This window comes from Homo sapiens, chromosome 8, assembly GCF_000001405.40.
Source record: "Homo sapiens chromosome 8, GRCh38.p14 Primary Assembly".
NCBI lineage: Eukaryota > Metazoa > Chordata > Mammalia > Primates > Hominidae > Homo > Homo sapiens.
In genome coordinates, this window is record NC_000008.11 from 90,057,937 (window position 1) to 90,083,092 (window position 25,156).

The following is a 25,156-nucleotide window of genomic DNA, read 5'->3' on the forward strand; positions in this document are numbered from 1 at the left end:
ACCTGGTAGAGTTTTGGCGCATACTTGGTAGTGAACAGTTATTTTTCTATGAATTAAATATAGGAAAATTCTGTATGTCCCTGTTATTCCTTTGGATATCTTTCATGAAGAAATATTTGACTGTGGGCCAGGCGCAGTGGCTTACGCCTGTAATCCCAGCACTTTGGGAGGGGAAGGCAGGTAGATCATGAGGTCAGGAGTTCGAGACCAGCCTGGCCAAGATGGTTAAACCCTGTCTCTACTAAAAATAAAAAGTTAGCTGGGCCTGGTGGCGGGCACCTGTAGTCCCAGCTACTCGGAAGGCTGAGGCAGAAGAATCGCTTGAACCTGGGAGGCAGAAGTTGCAGTGAGCCGAGACCATGCCATTGCACTCCAGCCTGGGCAACAGAGTGAAATTCCATCTTGAAAAAAAAAAAAAAAAAAATTAAAAGAAATATTTGACTATGTCAGTTGGGCAGAAAACTTCAAATATTTGGATACTTTGAGATTTCTTTGTAAATTTTAATGTTAGAGACACCCCTCAATTCAACAAAGTATCCAGTAGTTCACTGAGTCACATTTACGTTTATTTAGATTCCTTAGGCCATAATAATTTCATCCTACATTTCCACCTGGATCCATCATAGATTGCATGTCAGCTGACATTTTGAAGAAAAAACAAATACAAGAGATTAAGGTTATTTTCTTCTTTATTTATTCTTAGTAGTTAAATTCAGTCTAATGGCAGTGCTTCCATTTACACGCTAAAGGCAAAGCCAATCTCCCACTCAACATCATTTGTTGAATTTTAGTTTTTGGCAAATCTCGTTTCTGTTTGTTCTTGAGGGAAACATTATAGCTCACATTTTTTGGTTATTTTTATGAATTCAGAAAATAAGTGTTGAATTTATAGAATGGGGACATTCAAGCTGACCCAGAACGATCATTAACTCCTAGGCAGTAACTGTAAATTTCACATGGACACATCTCTCATAGCTCCCTGTTTCACAATCAAAGAAATCTAAAATCACCAACTGTTACATATCAACTATAACCAGTATAGGATATTCTAGCTACAAATATGTGAAACTGACTTAGATGTATGTTAAAGAATGTTTTAGAATCTTCTTGCTAGATAAGATAAATGATTACATTAGCATTTCTTTTCAGATGTTATTTTTTTAAACTCATTTGAAACTATTTGCAGATAGAAATAGAACTATTTTGAATGCTGATCTCAATATGAAATATAGAATCCACAGAATACACAAAAGTATTGATGATATAACATTCAATAATCAGGATGCTATGAATTTTACATTAAAATTTAATTATGTAGTAAAAAATAGAGTTGTTATAGCTAGAAAAAAATATTTTCAGAGGCAGCAGATACCCTTGGTGGAAATGAACAGTTCTACATAGAAAGAAAATCCAGGAAGTATGCAAACTAGACACCAGGATATGCAGTATATTAAATTTAATCAGAGATTACACAGAGTATGACATAAAACAGCAGTTGACTAGAATAATTTGCAACACATGAAAACAGTTTAGAAAATGGATTTAGGTCATATTCTCTGACAGTAAGTTTGTTGGAAATACAGGCATAGAATCAGACAGATTTATGTGTCATCTGGTGCTCCCTTCCCTTGTCACATCAACTTGAACCGATAGTTTTGTATGGATCCAAGCAGTAGACATGCTGTTGATTGGTAAACTAAATCTGTAATGAGACTGTTAACTTCATAAAGCCACAATTAACTATATTTTGGTGAGTATTTTAGATGGAAAAGCACATTCCTCCTAATAGTTAGAAATAAGCTTAGAAATATTTTGTGGGACAGTTCTATGGTTGTCTAAAATAAGAATGTTTGGCTTGTTATACATAATTCCATTATTCAGTGACAAATGTGCATTTGCAAATCAGAGACTAGAATTTTAGAGATTAATCCTGGTGGAATTTTTAGGGAAATCTTGTTCAACTATATTTGTGAAAGCAAGAATATGTTATTTTTTAAAATTGGGTGTACTGACTGGCCTAAGCATAGACTTTCTTCTTTTCAATCATATGGTTACAAAAACTGTATATTACAAACAGTATAGAAACAAGCTGAAAAGAATGAGCCACACATCCTGGATAATTATCTATATGCAGTTAAATTTACAGATATAAAAGAAAATACAGCCTACTCCCTTATAGTGCACAGTTATTTTTTAGATACAGTGTATCACTAGCAAGTGGTTGCGGCCACCAACTCTAGTTATCCCCAGCACAGAGAATAAGAGCAAGATCCGTTCGGTACAGCTTCCCTCCATCCGACAAAGCCATTATGTTCTTCTTGTATGTTGTAATATTATTAATATCCAGATCCTGTACAGAATATAAATGGCATTGTAATCCAGTTAAATATGGAAGTTAATTAACCACTGTCAAGTGATAAAATGTGAGATGAAACTACTTGTTACATCAATCCATTAACAAAAGAGCTGGATTAAATTCTTATACAAATGTGAATAATCACAAGGTTGTTTTTAAAATCTATTTATCACAGTTACCCTGATTTAGGCCAGAACCAAATTGAGTTAAGAATTGAATTCTATTTCTGCTCCTCTATAAATTGTTAAAGTAGATTTCCAAAATGGATGTGCTGTTGGTTTTGGATGGATCCACAGAGTCTGCTTAAAGAAGTAAGTGCCATGGTAACTAAGTTACCTGTTTATTCTTCTCGCACAGATCCTTCAGTAAAGCATCCAGTTCATTTTCATCTATGTATCCATTGCCGTCCTGGGGGAGGAGAAATAAAATAGTATACAACCAACTCCATCTACAGTAGTGGGAAATGAAGTAAAATGGAAATAATTGGAATCCTTAGAAAGTCTCCCAACTGCATACTTGGCAGATAATCTGTTATGTCAGGCCACCCAAGTTTTTAGCTGCTCCAAAGCTGTAAAATATGCAAGGTATTAGTTACTTCTCATTCAACACCTTACATTTGTAAAAGATCTTGAACTTTTCAAAGTACTTACACATGTAATTCACTTAATGTTAATAATATCTTCTAGGACAAGTGAGGAAACTGAGGGCTGAGGAAGGTATGTGGCTCTATGTCACACCAGGGTGTGGCAGAGTTCTGCTAGAGCTCACAGGTCCAGGAGTAAACAAATTAGAAGCAAAGGATGTGACCTAGTGACATCACAAATAACCTTTATTTTGCTGGATATTTTCACCTAGCTTAATCCTCATTCAATCCTGCAAAGTGGTGTTATTATTATCTCTTGTTTACAAATGAAGAAATTGAGGCTCACATGAGTTTGGTATCTTGTTCAAAGTCTCAAAGCAGGTAAATGATAGTGTGGGATTCGAATCAGGAGTTTGTGTAATTTGGGCATACCGTATTACCTTTCCTATGAAAAGAAGGAGTTATTTGTGTAATTTTCATAATCGTTTTTTCCAAATTCTGAAGAATCAAATTATAGATAAGAACAAAATTTTAAGGCATCCAAATTGGAAAGAGAGAAGTTAAATTATCCCTGTTTGCAGATATTATTTTTATAGAGAGAAAACCCTAAAGACCTCACAAAAACTGTTGGAATTAATAAACAAATTCCATAAAGTTGTAGGATGCAAAATTAACAATCAGAAATTAGTTATGATGATAAACTATCTGAAATGGAAATTAGAAAATCCCATTTACAAGAGCACCAAAAGAATAAAATACTTAGGAATAAAGTTAACTGAGAGGAAAAACTTATACACTAAAAATCATAAAATACTGATGAAAGAAGTTAACAGAGACACAAACAAATGGAAAGACGTCCTGTGTTTATGAATTGGAAGGCTTAATATTGTTAAAATGTCTATATTACTCAAACACATCTACAGATTCAGTGTAATCACTTCCAAAATCCCAATGGCAATATTTATAGAAATAAAAAAACCCTAAAATTCATATGTAACCACAAAAGATCCCAAATAGCCAAAAACCATCTTGAGAAAAAAGAATAAACCTGGAGACATCACACTTCTTGATTTCAAAATATATTACAAAGCTACAATGATTAAAACAGTATAGCTCTGAAACAAAAATCGAAACATAGACTAATGAGCTCTCAGTTTCACATGTTATAGTCAACTGATCTTTGATAAGGGTGCCAAAAACACAAAATGGGACAAGGATAGCTTTTTTCAACAAATGGTGTTAGGTAAACTATACAGACACATGCAAAATAATGAAATTGGACCCTTAGCTTACACCATATAAAAAATAAATTCAAGATAGATTAAAAACTTAAATATAAGATCTAAAACTGTAAAACTCCTAGAAGCAAACAAACATAAGGGAAACCTTTATGACATTGTTCTTAGCAATGATATTGTGGATATGAAACCATAAGCAAGGACAACACAAGCAAAAATAGACAAGCGAGACTACATCAAACTAAAAAGCTGCACAGCAAAGGAAACAATCAACAGAGTGCAAAAGCAGCCTACAGAATGGGAGAAAATATTTGTAAACCACATCCCAAAAAGGGTTAATTTCCAAAATTTATAAAGAACTCCTGTAACTCAATAGCAAAAAATGAATAATTCAATTTAAAAAATGGGTTAATGACTTGAGTAGACACTTATCCAAAGAAGGTATATAAATGGCCAACAGGTAATGAAAAAATGCTTAACATCACTAATCAGAGAAATAAAAATTAACAATAAGATATCTCCTCACACCTATTAGAATGGCTATTATCAAAAAGATAAAAGACAAGTGTTAGTGAGAATGAAGAAAATTGGAACTCTTGTATACATTGGTGGGAATGCAAAAATGGTGCATCCACTATGAAAAACAGTATGGAGAGCCCTCAAAAAATTAAAAATAGAACTGCATATGATCAATCAATCTCAGCACAAGACAAATTCTGCATGATGCCACTTGTATGAGGTATCTAAAATAGTCACACTCATAAAGTAGAATGTTATTGCCAGGGCTGGGGGAAGGAGAAATGACGAGTTACTCATCAATGGGCATAAAGTCTCAATTATATAAGATGGATAAATTCTAAAGATCTGCTGTCAAGATTGTCTCTATAGTTTGCAGTACTGTATTTTATACTTAAATTTTGTTAAGAGGATCTTATGTTGTGTTCTTACTTCAATAAAAAAGAAAGGAAAAAGTAACAAACTTTTACCTGATCATACAGCTCAAAAGCCTTATTGAACTCTTTCCCACACATTTTGATTCCCTAAAGATAGAGAAGAGAGTAAATGTTAAAATGTTATTACTATGTTTCAGTATGTTTCCCTTGACAAGTCTCCCACATTCTAGCTTTTCAAGGAAAATATTATTTAAGGTAGTAAAAAGTTAAGTACCTGGAATTTAAGAAGAAAATTCTCCTGCACTGGTAGTAACCTTTTGAGAGAAAAACATTATATTAATATATTACATTTTTTGAAAAGGATCCACTTACAATATTTTTCATGGTTCCTAAACTCACCTGGCCATCTCAGTTAATTCCAGCTTCCCATCATTATTTGAATCAAATAGTTTCAGCTGAAAGACAGAATGCCATTATTCTAGCTATTTGAGGAATAATTTATTGCATGAAGGAGATGAACTTCAAAATAAAGCTGTTTGAGTTATCAACTACTTGTATATATGCAGTAAAATTTTAAAAACTAGCATTTTTAAAACTTTCAATGCAAATTTTCAATTCTGTAATGTGTCCATTGCTAGAGTTTATCAGGATAATATAGAATAGTCAAACAGAGAAATAGTGGTTTTAGCTATGTTTCTAGAATACTGTCACTTTTTTATTGCAAATACGTTCATATGTGTATCAAGATGTGGGAGGGATGGTGTCTGACAGTTTTTGCACATCTGGAATCTCTCCAATAAGAAAATAAATATTTATTTCACCCTTTTAGAGCATAGAATACCACAAACAGAAGCAGAAAACAGATGACAAATAAATCCTTACAGAACAGAATTTTTGAATAATTTTGAATTGTTTTATTTTCTATTGGGTATTAGAAACTCCATAAAGCTCTCCAACTCTCCACTGCACTTATATATACGTCATTCACAAAGACACATCCAGATGTAAACACACTCATACCCGTATTTGGGAAGCATTCACCTTTTTAGATAGTAGCAACTATTGCTATAATATGTTATACCAAAGTAGTATATATGAATTACATTAAATATATAAAATGTGTATACTAAATGAACACTAAATATGTGAAAAATTAACATTATTTTTGTTTTTAAAGAACAGAATGTGTCCAGTGTTATAATGGATATAGATTTAGTGACATCTTTTTAAGAAGGAAAGGAAGGGCATTCTGTGGTTCGAGGTATTCTAAGAATCTTTTGTAGGAGGCAGATTTTTTTCAGGATCCCATGCTGACAAAACATTTTATAATCCATTGACCATAAATTCTGATATTGTCACACTACCTACCAAGATACTGGACAGCTCGATTACTTAGTTTTGTGCCCATGGGGAAATATTTCCCAACATATATATTTAAATTTTAATTAGCTCTCGATTAATTTGCTTCCTGGATTTGAACTGGTTTATGACATTTAATCAGATATGTCAGGCCAATCCAACAGAGGGAAACTCCCATCTGAGTGGGTTTTGAAAGGCTGCTTCAATATTCTACCTGGAAAGGAGCCTTTCTTTAAATAGGCATCCCTTAAGATTGGAACAAAATAGAAAATTGATAAATGTAGGTTATTGTCCATTACCTAAAAGTTATTCAGAGCTTAGACCTGTTGATTGTGACACATAGCAAGAAACTCTCCCCCATTTGTTTGCTAGTGCTATTGTAAGTGGAGATGTAATGAGGAATTAAAGATGACCATGAAAACCTTTTTGGTTGTTTTGAAATTAAAGCTTAGCCCCACCTTATAATAAATAACACTAGTTAGTGAATAAGGCAATAGTAAAGTTCTAGTAGTTCCCCCTCCCCAACCCAGATAAAAGTAAGCTGAGATGCTGAAAGCAAACCTCAGTTACATCAAATATAATCAAACCCTTTATTAGATTGTTTCTCAGAGTAATTAAAAAGTCTAACTCCTTCTTCAATCTAATATAACAGTAGCTTTTATAGTATAGAGCCATGTTTATGGTTTATTGATGTAAATCCATGGAGTAAGAATTCACAGTACCTTCACAGTACTGAAAGCTGTATAAATATATCTATCTCCTGGTAATCCTAATTCTGTGATGAGTCAAAATGAGCAAACTTCGTCCAATAGAAACTAACTTCATAGACATTGGTTTATTTTATCTGGAACCTTATTTATCTGCTCTTTTTTTTTTCCTGAAACAGTAAGTGCCTATGTGTAAAGCAGTTTTCTTGGCTCTATTATCAACATTCTATAATTGATCTTAGTTGTCACTATTTACCATAGCATCAACCTTAGGGCATATTTAGATTTCCTCATTCAAAGCACCAATACAAAACCCCAAAACAACAAAAATCAAAAGAAAGAAGGAGACCCATTTTAACTTGCTTAATTAATAAAGTAGCTAGATGGTCTCTTTAAACTCAACAAAGTGTGATTTCCCAAACTATGATAAAAATGGATTTAGGAACTCTATAATAAGTGAGTTTTTGGTGATATAATTTATATATATATAGTGTACCTTATATATGTGTAAGTTATATAATTTAGTGATATAATTACACTGGCTTTGGAAGCAAAACAAGTCATCTTTTGATAGATAAAAATTACACAGCTCTACAAGGAAGAAAATGCTCATATGTTGAGTCTTAAAGCCAATGCCTGCAGAACTCAAAATGACAAGATGTAAGCATCCCTAAGTATTTCACTTTTCAAATGAAATGATACCTATGTGCATATGATGCCCACACCACCGTTTATTTATTTCATCCTGTGTAGCCTTGGGAGTTAGCAAGAACATCATACTACTTCATGAGCTCTTGGGTACAATCTTTTCAAGATCAGTCTTACCATTAGGTCTGTATACTCGGCTAATTTTGTGTCATCAACAGTCTTGTTTGCTTTTTCTAGCAGGTCCTTTAGAAAGTTCTGTTAAAACAAAGAACACTTAGATTAATTTCATTAATAATATATCGTCTACTTTCATTTCAGAATGCCTTGGAACAGGACATACCAGGAATGCAAAGAAAGTCTCCTTTTGAGGGGTAGAAGCAGGTGAGTAGAGGAACTTATAATAGAAGAAAGACTAAACCAGGTTGTCCTCCTGGCATTCCAGCAATGAAACTACCTTTGACAGGAATAATACCTGCTTTTTACTGAGACTTGATTGATCATTGTCTGTGCATTACCATGACTTTATGATTTCAATTAACCTGAATAAAACCTTTTAAAACCAGCCAGCCCAATGGATGCATTTCTTCTTACTGATATCTTCACAAGTACTCATTGGATTGTTCTGCAAGAAACACAAGGGCCTTTATACCTTTGGAATATTGTGAAAAAATATCAGTAAACCAAATAGAGATCTATCCCTAATTTCAAATCCATTTTCTGCTCCCCAGGCTGTATTTACACATTAGTTTATAGCCAGCATGATGCTTATTTCTCCAGAGGGCCAGTTGGGTAGTTTTTAGCCTAATGCAGTCCAAAGCACTTTGGTTAAAATGCTTCCACTGACTATTTAAATTAACAAAATTGGCCACAGTTGATGTCATTGAATCTTTGAAAGATATATGAATCATATTAAAATAGAGATTAATGTGGGAAGGATGAAAAAAAGATGATTATTAACTTGACACCTGGAGCTTAGGAATGAATTTAAGTTTTTTTAACAGAAACATAAATAAAAGCTTTACAAAGATTTGCCATATAAGTGACAGTGTAAGCACTTTATAATAGTCATTCATTTTGTTTAGTGCTATTCATTCGTAACTCCTTTATTTTCTCAGAAAATGAATTAATGCAATTAGGAAAAACTAGGCAGATACTGTGCCCAGATATTATTGAAGGATTAGATTTCTTTGATTTAGCAATGACTTATCTCTCTCCTAAATGTTCCAGTTCTGGGCTGATTTGATGCCACTTTTTTAAAGGAAAGAGACTCTTTTCTTAGTTTGATAAAAATTTTTTACTTCAAATATTCCACTTCAAATCCAAAGTGAAGCATGGAAAATTCAAAGTTATCTGTTGGGGTTGAATTTTATTTTTGAGCCTTCTGGGGCTTTTGTCAGAGATTAATTGGGTTAAAAAGCCTCATCAGAGACTAAAATGGTGGTCACAAAAATAGCCTCGGAGAAACCTTGGGACGCAGAGATTCAAAGTCGTGTCTGAGAGCAAGTGATGTTTTACTCTATTATGGATCTTAAAATTAGCTTTCTTGAAAGATCCATTAAAAAAGAATGCCAACTTATCTTCAAAATTCCCCAGGGAAGAGGACTTCTATTTAGAATCTCTTTCTGAGAATAAAATTTAGAACAAAGAAGGAGGCTTTTAGAATATTTAGAGGTCAGTATTGGAAATGAGCTAAGGTTTTCATTATGAACTAAAAAGGATCTTTAAAAGAATATTTTTGGTCTAACTAATAAAATAAAAACACAGTGGCTTAACTGTCACCTTGTGGATTGCTGAGCTGCAAGTTTGTAAAATACACTGTTTTCAGTGACTTCACATTAAAAACGTTTACATTTTCAAGAGGATAAAATTGAGTATGTTTTAGCCATTTTGCCATGGCCCAAATGTCCCCGTTCCATCTTTAAAATTGTATGCTACTCAAACTATGTTGAATTATGACTAGAACTGTTGATATTCATATTTCCCCACATAGCAAAAGAGCAGCTCTTAATAAATGAAGTCTGAAAGCATGTAGTGCTGTGGGGGTGGGGTGGGGAATCATTCTTAGCATTATCAGATATTCTAGGTACAAATCCAGGTTCTCTTCCTAGGCAGCTGTGTAATCTTGAAAAATCATCAAATCTCTCTGCATTCCAATCTCACTGTTTTTATATTAGGAGTGATAATACCTGCCTTGCATATTTTCTGTGAGGATTAAATTTTAAAATACACTTCAAGCACCTTGTACTCTGCCTGACAGATAGTCAGTAAATATTAACTCACTTATATTTTAGTCACTCTATGTTCTAAAAATAGAAAAAGTAGGGTCTTTCAGATGGCGATGTTTTGGGGTCGGCTTGAGGAAATGAGAAGAATACTTCCATATTCCTGAAAGGCTAGTAAATTGAGTTCATGAATAATATAATTTATTTTATGTTGCATGTCACAAAAGCTTTCATGTGCAGAATCTTACTGGAGCTTCACAATAAGCCTGAGAGGAAGGATTTATTACACTCATTTTAAAGATTAAAGAAAATTGGAAAGATATAGTAATTAATGAGTTAAGACTTGATTTCAGATCTCTGCCTTTTCCTTTATATCCTCCTCTGTGATATCCGAAGTGATAAATTCATTCTCTAAGTTGCAGTTTTTCAAAAGTTTAATTTTAGAAGATTTTTTATTTTTTATCATCATTGCTGAGAGTCAGTAGGTTGTGTAGAATGTCTACAGGCCTTGGAGGCAGACAAGCCTGGATTTGCACATCAAGGCTCTGTCCGATTTCTGTGTGGCCTTCAGTATATCATTTAACTTCTCTCAACTCTTCCTCAATGGGGTAATACAATGTCATACAACTTACGCAAAGATTAAATAAGGCATTATGTGTAAAGTAGTTGGCATACAGTAGCTATTCAGTAACTTTTTCTTCTTTCTTTTGTAAGAAAATTTATATATATATGTGTTTATTTTGAGAACTAAAACTACAAATTTCAATAAAAGAATGGCTTATTCGGCTTATCTATAATTCTATCTGTCTGTCTGTCTTATATTTGTGTACACCACAAAAAATGTTAATTTTTTGCATTACTGTACAGAATTTCCAGAAGCAATTGAAGATGCTTTTTTGATCTGGTACTTCATTAACAATGTCGAAGAGTAGGTGAAAATGTGACACTGTTCAACATTAGTTTCTTTTGTGGGAGGTTTTTTAAAAAGCTAGGAAACTCTTAGTTCATAATTGCATCTGAAAGGAAAAACTTAGTACAAGTTTTTATTTGCTTACCTTAAGCTCCTCAGTTTCTATGAAGCCACTGTGGTCAGTATCATATTTTCTCCATGTCTGTAAGTAATTTTGGATAAGGAAAACAAACACATTTTTAATAAAAGGAACAATTTTCCTACTTTAAGCAGCTTTCTTAAAGGGGCAGCTTTCTTATACCTTCATGAATTCCTCACAGGACTTCAGCTGCTGGCATCGGAAGAGCAGCAGGAAATTCTCTTCTGTGGGTAATACGTGAGCCAACTGGAAAAGATTTAAGAAGAGAGAAACGTGTTGTAAGTTGCTCAAAAACAAGTCTCTGCCATTACCTGCTGCTTAGTTTTTCTTCAACGTGTTCCCTCACAGGCTAGAAAAGTAGGAGAGGAAAAACATTAGAGTCGGCTTTCCCTTTCTGGTACTTTCCTATGGAGCGCTGTCGATTCTCCAACGCTCGTGTGCCCTTGTGTGCTTGGTTCTTTGGCCAGTGAGGTGGCCGCAGCAGACCTGTGCTCAGGTAGAACTAGCGTGGCCACTTCTTGTCTGCTGGACATTCAGGCAGATTCATCCTCGTGGCTTGAACCCTTCAAGTGTTCTATGCCACAGATTAGTGTTCTATGCCTCTCTCCTCTCTCCTCACAGGGTCACAGAAAGGCACATGTGGGGGCCATAAATTTCATGTGAAGTGAAAGAAACCATGAGGAACATAAATGTTGGGGAGGGGAGTGAAGGGGGAAAATGTATTCCCAAGCCCGAGGAGAAAGCCTACCATGAGATACAAGAGAAGATAAACCAAAGACAATCGTAAGGCAATGGAAAAGAAATTCACCATGAATGGTGGGGCGTTAAACAGGAATAGGAAAAGCCAGTTCTCAAATTGTTGCTTTCTGCTGAAAGGACATCCACTGCTTGAATCCAGGGCTGGGGTTTATTTTCTGATCTCCACGGCATGCCTCTATGACATTTTCCCTTAGATCTCATTTCAAAACTTCAATCCTCCTCTCTTTTTTTTTTTTTTGGAAGAAAAAAGGATTCCATATCCCATTTTATGACTAATCTATTGCGTACAGAGAAGGAAGGAGCTGGATTGATGGCTCCACTACAGATGTGAGATCTATTTCTGGCACAGTAGCTAATTAGCTGTGGTCCCCAGCAACCCCGAGCCATTTCTGGACTTCAGTACCCTCATCACTAAAACAAGGACTTGAAATAGAAGCCAGTGTTTCTTGAATATATTGGGTTCAAAACGCCTTCTGTTGGAAGCACTGCATTTTCACCATTAAATAATGAATCTACACACACTATATTTCATCTAATTTCCAGGATTTGATGAATTCCCTAGATCACGGGCATGGACGGACCCTCATCCGTGGATTTTAGGCCAACAGCCTGTAGTCTAGATCAGCCTTAAAGTCAGAGTCAGTTCTAAAAGTTCTACCAAGTTATAGAAAATACTATCATAACTTTTTTTAAAAAATTCATCCTTTTAGGTTCATTTAAAAATTTAATATTTAATATAAAATGCACTATTCTACTTTATATGCAAGGAATCTAATTTTTCTTATGCCTGTGTATGCCCTTTAGCTTATCTTATGTTTAGATTTTTGAAATAATATTTCAAATTAAAACCACTCGATTTATACGCACCACACATGTGGGTGAGACTAAGGGAAAGGGCCAAACCTTATGTCAACATGTTTAATATGACCTAGTTATAAAACATTTTCTTATTTATTTTTAAAGAAAGGTCACTAGTGTGGGTAGATGATAATATATCTAAAAAGTAAAAATGGGGGTTTATAATGTGCCAGTGCTTTTAAAAAAATGTAATTAGCTTTTGGTACATAAACACATTTGCATCATTGCAGTGTGTGTGTGTGTGTGTGTGTGTGTGTGTGTGTGTGTGTGTGTGTTATCCAGGTCCCTTATTAAACTCAGGACATACTTCTGTGACCTTTGCATTCTTTCAATTCCTTTGAATACTTGAATCATAAAATTCTATACCTCAGAAATAACATAATTTAATTTAATTCAAGACCAAATTTTTCAATTGAGGATGCTAAGGCCCAAAGAGGTTGAATGATGACCTGATGATTGGCAGACTGAAAATCACTTTAATTTGGTGATTATTAGTAGATTAAGTCAACAACATGCTTGTTGAAGACAGTAATAGAGTGGTTTGGTTGCTTCTTTGCTCTTGGACTGCAAATAATGAATTTGTTGGTGATTTTTACACGTGACAATGAGATAGTTTAAATATGATAAGCTGTTTCTACTCATTGAAATCTAGAACACCATTTTCCTTATAAAAATCCCTTTTTTTTCCTCATCTGTAAGTGGGCTCCTAGTGGAAAGTAGCTATAAATGATTTTCATTATAAAGTATCCAGATATCTGGTAAGTTAGGCCTAGAATGTAGGTCTCCCCCCAGAGCTAAGGGGGAAGAGGAGAAGGGAGGGAGAATGGCAGTGGGTGGGCTCGGCATGGAGAGGGGCTCTGGAGGACGGAGAGCCACACCCCTCCAGTCTTGTTGAGCCTGGCCTCTTCTATAATAATACTTTCCTGGAGGGATTCTGAAGAATATCTCCTTGAGGATTTTAAAGAAGATGGGAAGAGAAGAAAAAGTAACACAAGAAAGAAGAGGGAACAAAGATGGAAGACAATAAAACACATCAAAGAGAAGAAAATATATCAGAGGCAGACATTTTGAGGGAAAGATTGAACAATGGAAATGGATGTTATGTATACATTTTGGAGGGTTCTGCATGATATAGAAGGTCTAGCCACATTTTATTATGTTTTTTTCATGAATATAAGTGTTCATTTAGGAAACAGGAAATAGCTAACCCCAACTCGTCCTTTATTTATTAGTATGCAACTTGTTAGATACTTCTTACAATTTTTGCGTGACCTTCCTCTAGACCATTAATTTCAAGAGGGCAGGGAATAATACTTTTCTGCATCCCCTGAATGCCCAGCATGGTATCTAGCATGTTATATGCCTGAAATAAATGCTTGCGGATTGGTTGGTAATTTTACTTTATTAAAAACATCTACTTAAAAGAATTGAGTTATTTTTTGCTTATCTTCATCATAATTCTCTATTTTGTTTGGATTTTTATAATTAGTGTGTGTTGCTTTGAACAAAAAAGAATAATTTTTCTTTAAATATTTTACATCTCCAAATTCACTGAATACATAAAAACAGAAAAAAACAAATGAATGAACTAGTAAGCAATCACTAAATGTAAAATTAGGGAAATTGCCATCTTTGTTTCAACATAAAAGTTCATGTAACTCACATAAAGTTGAGAGGTCTCCTGAATGTCAGATACAGAGATAGTAAAAATGCTCTTCATGTCTACTATAAATGTGTATTTCTTGCCCATACTGCTTTGGTTTTATACTTAAATTATTAAAAAATACAGATTACATCAATGTGCAACATATTCAATCTGTTTTAATTTCACTGAACCATTAATGTTACACTCAACATGATACCATCCTATTTTATAAATGTTAGAAAGGAGTCTTAAGCATATAAAAATTATTATGTGTATATAGGATGTGGCTATAGTGAATGTAAAGAAATCTTTCTTAAGATATGTTTCACAATGTGGTGGTCCTGTGTTGTCTCTCGGTTCTTCTCTCAATGCGTATGAATCAATATTCAAGTTTCAGAGCTGGGCACAGTAATTCTCCAGCTGTAGCCTTTATGACTATGTCTATAATGTGCCAAAGGTCTTTCATATAGGAGGTGTTAAGTAGAGTTGCTTTATTCTCAGATATGCTAAGTCACTGCTGTTTATAGAAGTATCCAATACTTCTTATTACAATATTATTGGTGATTCTGTAATCTTTGGGCTGCCTGCCTGCTCTTTTATGAACTCCCAAAACTTTTTTATGAGTTGGAAAAGAGAGTGAAGAATATCAAGGGGATGAGTGGAAGGCAGGTAGCTAAGGAAATAAGTAGAATCCCTCAGAGCTTCATTTCTGAGAACTGATTGCTTGTTATCAAGAGTAGGAAAAAAAACCAACAACTTCCTACTTGCTTGTCTCCCCTACTAGTCTACGTGCTCCTTGAGGATGGGGTCTGTGTCTTATTTACTGTTTTGTGGCCCAGAAACTGCACAAATTTTAGTAAATATTTTATTGAAGCAATATATAAAGGTAATTAACTATTTGTTTAGCATCAGGATAGGCTGTAAATAAATGGAGGTAAAGTTCCTTTGGAGATAATTCCAATAACTTATTACTGAGCTGTGAATAGGGGTTGGGGTGGACATTGTGATATGCTACCCAGAACTCCCTTCAAGTGCTGGGAGTGTTGCTGCAGCCTCACCTGTGAGGCCCCATTGAAGGAATACCTGGGCTGAAGACAGCTGTGTCCCCAAGGAGGTGGCATCCTATGACTGATCAACATGGGGATATAAAGGCCCAACGGTCTCACTCAAAACTAGAGACATTCCTGAAGGGTCATCCCAGCTTCAGAACTCACTGTAGGGTCAGCTGATGTCCCCGTTGAGACTGTGACACAGCCCAGCTTCTCCCTCTGCCCAGATCTATTCTCTTCACTTCTGTCCCGGGGTATTGATCCCAAGAGCACTTCCTAATAAACCTGCTCATTGCTACTCTTCCACTCAGATCTGCTTCCCAGGGAACTCTACCCATAACAGGGGACTTTACATCTCTCTTTTATTTCTAGCGTAATACAGAGACTTTGCCTGATGTTTTGGAGTAAGTTGAAATCCCTTGCTGTGGCTCATTTGGCTACTAAATACTAGGCACTGTGCTGGTGACCACAGTCACCACTAGTGAGAACCATATAGGGAGGCAGATACTTTCAAACAACTTTTCCCCTGACAATTTCAAAGCAGGAGATAAAAACAACAATAAAGCTAAGTACTAGTTGTGAGGAGAGTATACATGAAAGGCAACTTCATTAGTGATACAAATTATATCACAGTGCACATGAGGCAGAATTCCTAACTTTTAAAGACAATCATGGTATGTTAACATTCTTGAACATGTATTAGCCAAGCATTCATTTTTTTTTTTCACTTGAGAACCAGAAAAACGTTTTCCCTAGCCAGTGAGAAGTGAGTCCAGGAAATTTGAAAGGTAAATAACTTTATCAAAAATGTAAAGCTCTTTCAGTTTAATAATTTGAATTTGACAAATTATATAATAAGTGGGGGAAAAGGCTTGGCATTCAGAAGATGGGGTCGATTTTGTAGTAAGTTATTTTTATATGTAACAATAACTGCAAATACATTTGTTGAGTTTTTACAGTGTGCCAGGGTCAATCTACTTGTTCAATATGTATTATTTGATACTGATGATCATAACAACCTTATGAAGTTAATACATTGTCATCCTTGTTCACTACCAAGGAAACAGAGGCTCAAAGAGGGTAAATGGCCTGCTCTCACATAGATTGCAGTTGGAGCCAGATTTGAAGGCAGAGTCTGACTTTCTTGGCTTAGAGACTCTGTCCCTTACCTTCATCACCCTCCATTAAAATCCTCAATCAAAAAAGTATCCCTAATAAATCACTTAGAAAGATCTATGCAGAGGGAATTTTAAAATCAGATTTCATTGTCAGTCATTTCCCAAAATTCTGTGGTGGAAAAGTAGTCTTCCATGAAAAATTATATTCACTATGGCTAAACTCACAGGCTCAAATCCCACTGCAGATGAAAAGAGGGAAAGGCTGGAGAAGAGCTTGCTTCCCTGGGAGGGTTGTTACAGTTTTAGGACTAAAATAGCTTTTAGGTCTGTTTTTCAATGGATGCACTGACCTGGACAGATAGAAACAGTAAGAATGGAGAGGATGGTAGGTTCTCACACATTGCCAAAAGGATCAGGTGAAAAACTTACAGATTTGACACCCATTTAAGAGAAATACCTATATTTCATGTGAACACCAGAGAAGAAAGCTCTATTATCTGCTAAATCATTAAGTCTTCCTTTTTAATTATTTTAATCAGCCTTCTTTGCAGTAGAGCTATTAGTCTGAATAAATTCGGAACATTTTTTTGACCATCACATTATTTGTTAAATTATCTCAAAATTTCGATGCTCCTGTCTTGAGTTTGTGTTAACAATCTCGTTATTTCTAAACTGTATTTGTGTGGATTTTTAAATCTATTTAAAGGCAAGAAATTAGAAAGTTCAGAAAGAAACATATTTGTTTCTAGGTAGCAAATGCATGTTGTTAGAAAGTGTCAGCTAACTTTGTCACGTTAGAACTTTGAAAGTTAACCATTACATTTTCTAATCTTTTTGAATGACATCTTTCAGAGACAAACCAATTTGGCCTGTTCCATCAGGGACGCAGACCACTGCATGAGTATCATTTGGTTTACTTTGATTAGATTTTGATGAGTTTGTGAGTATAACTATTAAGTAAGCATAACATATAAGTAAATCCATCTTCCTTTCCCTTTGAACACCAAAGTTAATGTGTGCTTGATGTCAGTAGGTAGATTATTATAAATTGTAGAAAACATAGGATTTTGCATTCCTTTATAGCTGGCTAGAATTTGTGTATTTGTGTTCTATATTATTTATAGGATTTCTAAGCAAGTGATATATGTCAAATTGGAAAAAGAAAGGATGAACTTCATTTAATACAGCTTTCTGGTTACAGTAGAGAGCAAAATATAAGTTCAGACATTTCCTACTCTCCCTTTCCACATTTTCTACATGTAATCTGTAACTTTTAATTTCTATTTCCCAATTATTTTCAGAATTTCTCTTTTCTTCACTCTTAACCATCACACAGTGAACCAACATGCATATGAACTATTGAAGCAATCTCCTATTTTTCCTCCTATTCTCCATTTCTCTTCTCTCAAACTAATGCCCTCTTCCAGACCCCTTACTCCTATGTCTTGGCTGATAACTAAGATTAATGAAAAGAGTTCTAAAATCGGAATGAGATCTAAGTCTGTATATAGAATTTGTCACTCCCTGCAAATGGGACCTTGGATACATCATTCGACCTTTTCGGGCTTCAGTTTCTTCATCCTTAAAATAAGGAATGTTGGCTAGTTCTTCCCAAGAGTCCCATCTAGCAAAAAGTTCCATGTCCTGGAACACTAAAACCTTCCAATCAGTTTATATGTATCTCATTTGTCTCCCTTTAAATTATTTCTGCTTCAGCTGATCAAAAGTTCTGCTGAAATTATGTTTCGAGTGCTTTGCCCAAATAACTTCTCTGCAGAACACTTTGTGCATCCCTATTCATCCCAGATAAACTTAGAAACTTGCCATAAGTAATCAACCAACTGAAGCTTGAAAAGTTTTCCTTTTAATGCAGAAAATGTACAGATTATTTATTATTTTAAAAAAGGCAGAATAGTTTGGGGGAACATGGCTGGGTTCTGACTGTTCTACCATTTATTTCTTACTTTTTCTGTGACCTTAGGCAAATCCTATTGAAGCTTCACATGCTATAACTATAAAATAGATCTTCATTTTATATTTAAATTTACTTAATTTTCTAGTTATGATGATCAAATGAGATAACATATTTGAAAACACTTTGTCAATTTTATTTTATACAAATGTGAATTATTTTATTATTTTTGTTGCTATAAAAGCTTCTCACTTCTTTATTTCAGACTTCATCGCCTTCTCTGTCCTCTTCTGTTACCTATATTTCTATATCTTTCCTTCCACAGAAAGCCTTTTCTTTCCTGTAACAGTTCCTTATCTAAAACTTCTGAGGAAATTTCCTTCATTAAACCTCCAGGACAATGCGTCTGCTAAATGGCCTCTAACCTCTCATTCAAAATAGCGCTGAAATAATAAGTCATAAATGATTAGACTGTATCACATAAAGTAAAACCGGGATTCAAAACATGCTCATCCATTTTATCCTTATAAAAATGTAAAATCCATGTGAATCAGATCAATGCCTTTTACTGCACAATCTAGTATCACTGAAGAAATGAAATTGAATAAATAGCTGAGTCCATTGGACTCCTTCAAGGAGAAGTATGTTAAATGTAAGGTGACAGGTTTTCCTTAACTAGGATTATAAAGTATGTCAAACTCTAAAAGAGCCAATCCGTAATTTCACTGATGTCATATTTCCAAACTAGTTTTGAATAATTAGATTTACCTCATCTCATTTATGTTTAATTTAAAAGTTATTTTCTTATCCTTGATGGTTTCATACCTTGATTAGTTGGCCTATATGTCTATCTGTAAGTCCCATTACTATTATCTATTTATATAGTAATGAGTTACACACGGGTAAAGGGGAATGTATGTACTCCAGGGAAAATTTTTAATTACAAAGATAATAATAGTATGTCCTCTCTTAACTCTATTTGTATCAGCTGTTTAAAAATAAGTGTATTTCACACTGGCATCACAAGTGTCCTATAAGATCAATTATTTGAAAACCAGGTTATTTTTCTGAATCAAAGGTAAATTATTACTAAATGTTGTTGAGATCCAGAATACTTCACAATCTAATACACTGAGAAACACTATATAAATAACATAATTATGTTATGATTTGGCATATTTCAAATTATGACCTAATTAATTTTTCTGGACAAAGACTTCCACCCAATTTCTCTAATAGGCTGCTGAGATAAAGAAAGAGGCTAAGACACCACAGGCTGGAAACGTAGATATAAGGGAAGCAACAGCTCTTTCACAAATCTGAGAATGCAGAAGAATTGATGCATAATCAGTTTTGCTTCCTTGATTCACAGACAAAAATAAGTTGCCCTTAATAGGAAAAGTCACTGTGAAAGGATAAGATGTGACACCCACAGTTTTAACTTTCAAAGATTCACATGAAATCTGTACCTATAACAGATCATAAAATATTCACTCACTCTAGTTAAATTATTCTGTTTTTACGAAGGCCAACTGTCAAACCAGGATGCAGCTTTTTGCCATGAAAAATAAGGACTGTAAATATTTCACAGGGACTGCAAACATTTTATTTTATATTTTAAAAGTCAAGTCTACACTGTTAAGTGATAAGAAATACTGATGGACCATGTGCTTAGACACTGTATGGAAGTGGGGCTGGGTAATGGAATGTGATTGATACTCATGTAGAAGTCAGGGACTTGTTCCTCTAACTGCACCTGTGCCAGCAAATAGCTGTATGACCAGAGGCAAACAATTTTGTTTTTCCATGGTCTCAATTTTGTAATATATGAAATTTAGGCCCTGGGTTAGGAATACTCTTAGATGTTTTTCATTTGTGAACATTTTTTAACTTTATACTTCTGAACAGAAGATAATGTATTACTTAGGTAAAATAAACTGTACTGAATGGGTCTTGCTATATCTTACTTGACTTGAAGACAACTTCAAAATTGAAACTCATTTATTAAAATTAAATCAGAAAAATGCATAAATTCCTTACCTCTACAATTCCTATTTTTCCATCATCTCTTTGCCCATACTGATCCACAAAAGTTTTCATTTCAGGTGATAACTCCTAAAATTATATAAAAGCAGGTAGGAGGTTTGTTAAAAAAATACCAGTTATGCTTGTGATGGTGTTAATAACTTACTGCAAAGAAAAACCAAAATTAGAACCATTTAGAAATATGCATAATGATTAACTATTCTCAAAAAAATTAAAGGCATAACTGATACACAGTATTTATTAGTTCCAAATGAAAGAGTTGTAATCATGATTATTTCTCAATTAATATGATTTATCTTCTATTATTAATTTTGAGACTATGCTATCCTTTGAAAGTGTAGTCAGAATCATTCCATTCATAACTTTTAGTGAATTTTAACATAATCATCACCATCAATATATTTTAAACAATGCTTGCTTCATTAAAGATTACCTTATATTGCTACACTATCTTGTCTTACAACATTTTTCTCATTCTAACATAATGTTTTATCTATGGAGAGTAATATATGTTTTCATTTTGAACAAGCAAAAAATGTGAATGTTAAAGATTAACTCACTTTGTAAGCAAAGATTGTTTTAAGCATAAAAGAGGCATTCATCAATTAAATAAATTTAAAAATTAAATAGATTAGAGAGCTATGAACTATAAACTAGTGATCTGAACATAGAACTGGTATTCAGGAGGTTTAATTTTTACCCTTGGGTCTCCAACATAGCCCATTTAAAATAGCCCTGTTGCATTAGCTGAAGCCTATTTAAAATAGGTCAGCCCTTACTAATGTTCTATTCTACGTCCTTGGGAAAGCAAATTAAGGTCTCGGTTTTCATCATAGCTAACAAGATGGTGGTATTATCTACCACACAAGTTTGCTTTGGGGATAGATAGGTTAATATAATTAAAGGGCTATATTGAGACTAAATATCATTATTACTAGTATTTATAAAAGCCGTTTGGAACCAATGTAGACATCTTTAGTTGAACTAAGATAATAAATAATAACAAAGCAATATAATTATATTTTAGTCTTTATAAAACTTACTATGGATAAATTACAATTTGTATTTATCTAATTTTGTTATAGAAACAATTGTAAGAAAATGAAAGTGTTCAACCATGGCAATAGTGGGAATATCAGGTCCTACAGTTTTTTTATTTTTACATACATCTTAACGTAAACAAAAACCAAAGCATCTGTCCTTAAATTTTAAAATGGTGTAATACCACTACTTTCACGAGCAGACTTGACATTTACTTTGTGAAGTTTCTGACAAGTATGTCAAAATCTATTTTTTAAACAGTGCAAAACATATAATCACCACCAATTAAAAATGTATAAAAATGAGTGCAACTACAAAGACCAAACACTATGTTTAGTGTAAAAGGATAGTTTCTGAAAATATATTGCATTGTTATATTTAATTAATGTTATATTCACCTAGTGAAAATTTTGAAATTTCATGTTATTAATACGAAAAGCCAAACAATGTTTCCATTAATGCAATGAAATCTGTTATCCTATGGCTAGAAATGCAAAAAGCCTGGTTTATAAGGGCAATTTTTATGTTCTAAAGAAAGAGAAGAAATATATACAAGTAGGTTTAATGCAATGAAGTTAGTAGTATAATGAAACATGTATCTACTATATGAAACTCTGAATCCACATCTTGATTTAGATTTTAACTACCCAAATCAAGAAAAATACTAAATTCAGAAAAATCCAGATTGTATTTACATTCCAGAAAAATGCTCAAGAATCAAGGTATTAAGCAACTTGATATAATCCTATAACTATGCTTGTTTAGTATCATTACATTATAGTCTAATAATTGGAGCTTTGAATATTCCAAAACAGAGAAAAATAATTAAATTCTAAATCTCCAACATGAAGATATTGCTTACAAAAAGGTACAAATATTAAAATCAGAGGAAGAAAAATATTTTTTTAAAGTTCATGAATATTTAAATTTCTAAGCTGAAAATAGATTTCAATATTAAAATTACTTCTGCACAAAATAAAATATAATCATTACCTGCTGGAAGCATCTTCCAAGGTTTTAATTCTAAATTTTATGGAAAGTAAGACTTTTCCAACCTGATTTTAAAATATGTATTTTTAAATGAGGAAGATAATTGCTTTTATTAGATTAGCCAAAGATATATAAAGCTATAATGACAGTATTGCATAAATTTATTTACATGGCAATATATAAGACATGGGGAGGGTGGAGAGTATATAAAACATTTTTATGCTATTTTATTCCGTTCTATTATACTTTTAGATTATATAATATTAAATCTGGGTAAAACAATCCCTAGAGCACAATCTGGTTTAAAATCAATTTGGTCAATGATTTTTGTAACTGATAGTTCTATAGTGCATTATAATACATTTAGAGCCCTCTGGGATTCTTTTGAATATGCTGTACAGAAATGTATATTACACAATTTTCAATTTAGATAGGGCAAAAAGTTCTATTATTAAATTTTATATATATCACTCAATATTAGAGGTGGTGATCTGCTATATAATATATACATCATTGGTAGTGTAAAATCTCTTTCTAAACGTAGTCAAAAAGGCCAAAGACCATTAACGTGTAACTCATCCCAATTCAACACTGCCTTCTGAAAGGCAGTGTTACATAAACCTCAATAGAGTAGTACAATTTTTAACCCATTTTCCTCTGGACAACCATCTCATCTATGTTTAAAAGCTGACTGTATTTTATATTTATGCTGACAACATATTTTCTTAACAGGTTAATTTATGCCCAAAGGGAGTCATTTATAATTAATAAGAATGGTTATTTGTTTAATTAACTAATGGCTTAAATAACGAACATAGCCATTTTCAAAACACCATCAATTGCTGCCCATCAGAGTATCACTTTGCTTTTTTTACAATACATGAAATTCTTAAAATTGTTTTACTTTTTACTTCTCTACCTTTTGGGTTTCTTGCTTTCAACAGAAATGAAGATCTTTTCTTGCTAAATTCTTTCTCACTGTTAGGTTGCAAGTTGGGCAACTTACCCTTAGTGAGGACAAGATGTTTTCTCATCTCCCCAACTACATCAACATCACAACAATAATAATTGGTGATAGAGTAAGAGATCCATAATCTGCAGATCTGTTTCTTGACCACCAAGGGGCAGAAATGCATTTCCACCCCCTTATTTCTCACACAGTAAAAGAGAATTTAAAAATTACCTAATCAAACTCAGTGGTAGAGGTGGTGATCCGCTAAAGAATCTCATGCACCCACAGTTCCCTTTTAAGACCTATTAATGCAAGTACTAGTATAGAATATATATATATTTAAAGCTCCAGTTTCAGATAGCAAGGTTTTTCCCTTTAGAAAATCTGTCTCTCTCTGTCTGTCTCCCTTTCTCCCTTCTTCCCTCCCTTCTCTGTCCCTCCCTTCTCTCTCTCTCTCTCTCCCCCTCTCTCTTTCTCAGTCTCTTTCCCCTTTCCCATTTCTCTGTATTCGAGTTGGAAAAGTGTTTTTTCTTGCCTTTCGCAGTCAATAAACGTTTACATTACCCAGAAAGCGCTTTACGCTACTGGCTTTTTGTGAAAACACAAGAATGTTTTAATTTGGGGGTTAAAAGTCTTTTTTTCTTTTTCGCAAACTTGAACCTACCAATCCAGCCTTCTTTCGCGCCTGCTGGAGCTCCTGGATCAAGTTCTGCAGCTCCTTTCCTTCCAGGTAACCACTTCCTGCAAAGACAAAGAGGCACCCAGGTGTCAGATATCTCATTCCAAGTGTCTTTCCCGTTCACTTTCCAAGACAGTTATCTTTCTGGCGACCCGAGAGGCTCTCTCTTGCCTGGACGTTGATTAACCAGCAAAGTGTACAGACGGTGAAGCGCTCCCCTCCTGGGGTATCAAACTTTAGATCCACTGAGGACAAAGGAGGATGGTTGGGGTGCTAAGCGCAGCCACAGAAACTTTGGGGGGGCAGCATTCCCCAATCCCTGCTCTCTCTCTCCTACCATTACCGTTCCTGGAAAGACAAAAGTTTAAGGTTTTGGGATTACGGTGGAAACAATATAAACTTTCAGGTTGACAGTTTGGCGGCCAGTCGGGGAGATAAGAAGATAAGATTAGGCAGAAGGGGGAAGAAGTAAAGAATAGAAAGGAGGGATAATGGGATCAGGAGGCTCAGAAAAGGGCAAAGAATGGGAAGGGGCATGGAAACGGGTCTTGAAACAGTTAAAAAGAGAAGATAATCACCGTCAGCGTCGAAATGGAGCCAGATCTCGAAAAACTGTGAGGCTGTGATGAGGGATGACTGCAGGTGGGATTCTGCCATTGTACAGCGGGGTGTGTGTCTGGGTGTGTGAATATGCGTGTGTCTGTGTCCGCGCGAGGGGGAGTGAGCAAAAGCTCAGCGTGTGCGCGAGTCAGGGCTGCGGAGGGAGACCTGGGCGCGGGCGCTGCCGGGCGCTGTCCTCGGTGCTGCTCAGCTCAGCGTTCCTCCAGAGTTCTCTCCCTACACCCCGCACCCAGTTCTCAGTATTTATCCCGACGGCCCCAAGCCGGGCCACGCCTCCTCCAGCCTCCCATTCCTCACTCCCCGCCTCTTGCTCTCACCAGCCTTCTTCCCCTCCCTTCCAGTTTTCTGCTCTGTTCCCAGGAAAGCTAGCTGGAGCGAGAGTTTGGGCTTGTTGGAAGCAGCAGGTGGTGGGAGATCCTTTGCTCAGAGAT

At 34.6% G+C, this 25,156-nt stretch overlaps 1 protein-coding gene and 1 long non-coding RNA gene across 3 annotated transcripts; one reads left to right on the plus strand and one right to left on the minus strand.

The window, feature by feature from the left end:
- Window positions 1-671: 671 nt before the first annotated feature.
- On the minus strand, window positions 672-24,943 carry CALB1 (calbindin 1). 2 transcript variants are annotated; one of them, NM_004929.4, is made up of 11 exons: window positions 24,683-24,943; window positions 24,090-24,166; window positions 20,437-20,511; window positions 11,218-11,301; window positions 11,062-11,118; window positions 7,962-8,039; window positions 5,470-5,525; window positions 5,345-5,384; window positions 5,164-5,217; window positions 2,693-2,764; window positions 672-2,350 (listed from the first exon to the last, which is right to left on the minus strand). In NM_004929.4, the coding sequence occupies exons 1-11, from the start codon at window positions 24,759-24,761 to the stop codon at window positions 2,237-2,239; spliced, it is 786 nt and encodes a 261-aa protein (NP_004920.1). In that variant the 5' UTR covers window positions 24,762-24,943; the 3' UTR covers window positions 672-2,236. The 2 variants fall into 2 exon arrangements, with proteins under 2 accessions (NP_004920.1, NP_001353724.1); NM_001366795.1 differs by lacking the exon at window positions 20,437-20,511.
- LOC124901976 (uncharacterized) lies at window positions 3,255-8,346 on the plus strand. The gene is made up of 2 exons (XR_007061004.1): window positions 3,255-3,320; window positions 8,103-8,346. It is a non-coding gene; the product is annotated as an uncharacterized LOC124901976 (long non-coding RNA).
- Window positions 24,944-25,156: the final 213 nt, after the last annotated feature.

Bases quoted from the DNA above. Each gene is read 5' to 3' on its own strand.
- CALB1 (NM_004929.4), bottom strand. From the start codon at position 24,761: ATGGCAGAATCCCACCTGCAGTCATCCCTCATCACAGCCTCACAGTTT. The intron at 8,040-11,061 runs GTAAGCAAATAA...TTGTTTTAACAG, and splicing joins TAGAAACTGAGGAGCTTAAG to AACTTTCTAAAGGACCTGCT. The intron at 5,218-5,344 runs GTACTTAACTTT...CTCTATCTTTAG, and splicing joins ATTTTCTTCTTAAATTCCAG to GGAATCAAAATGTGTGGGAA.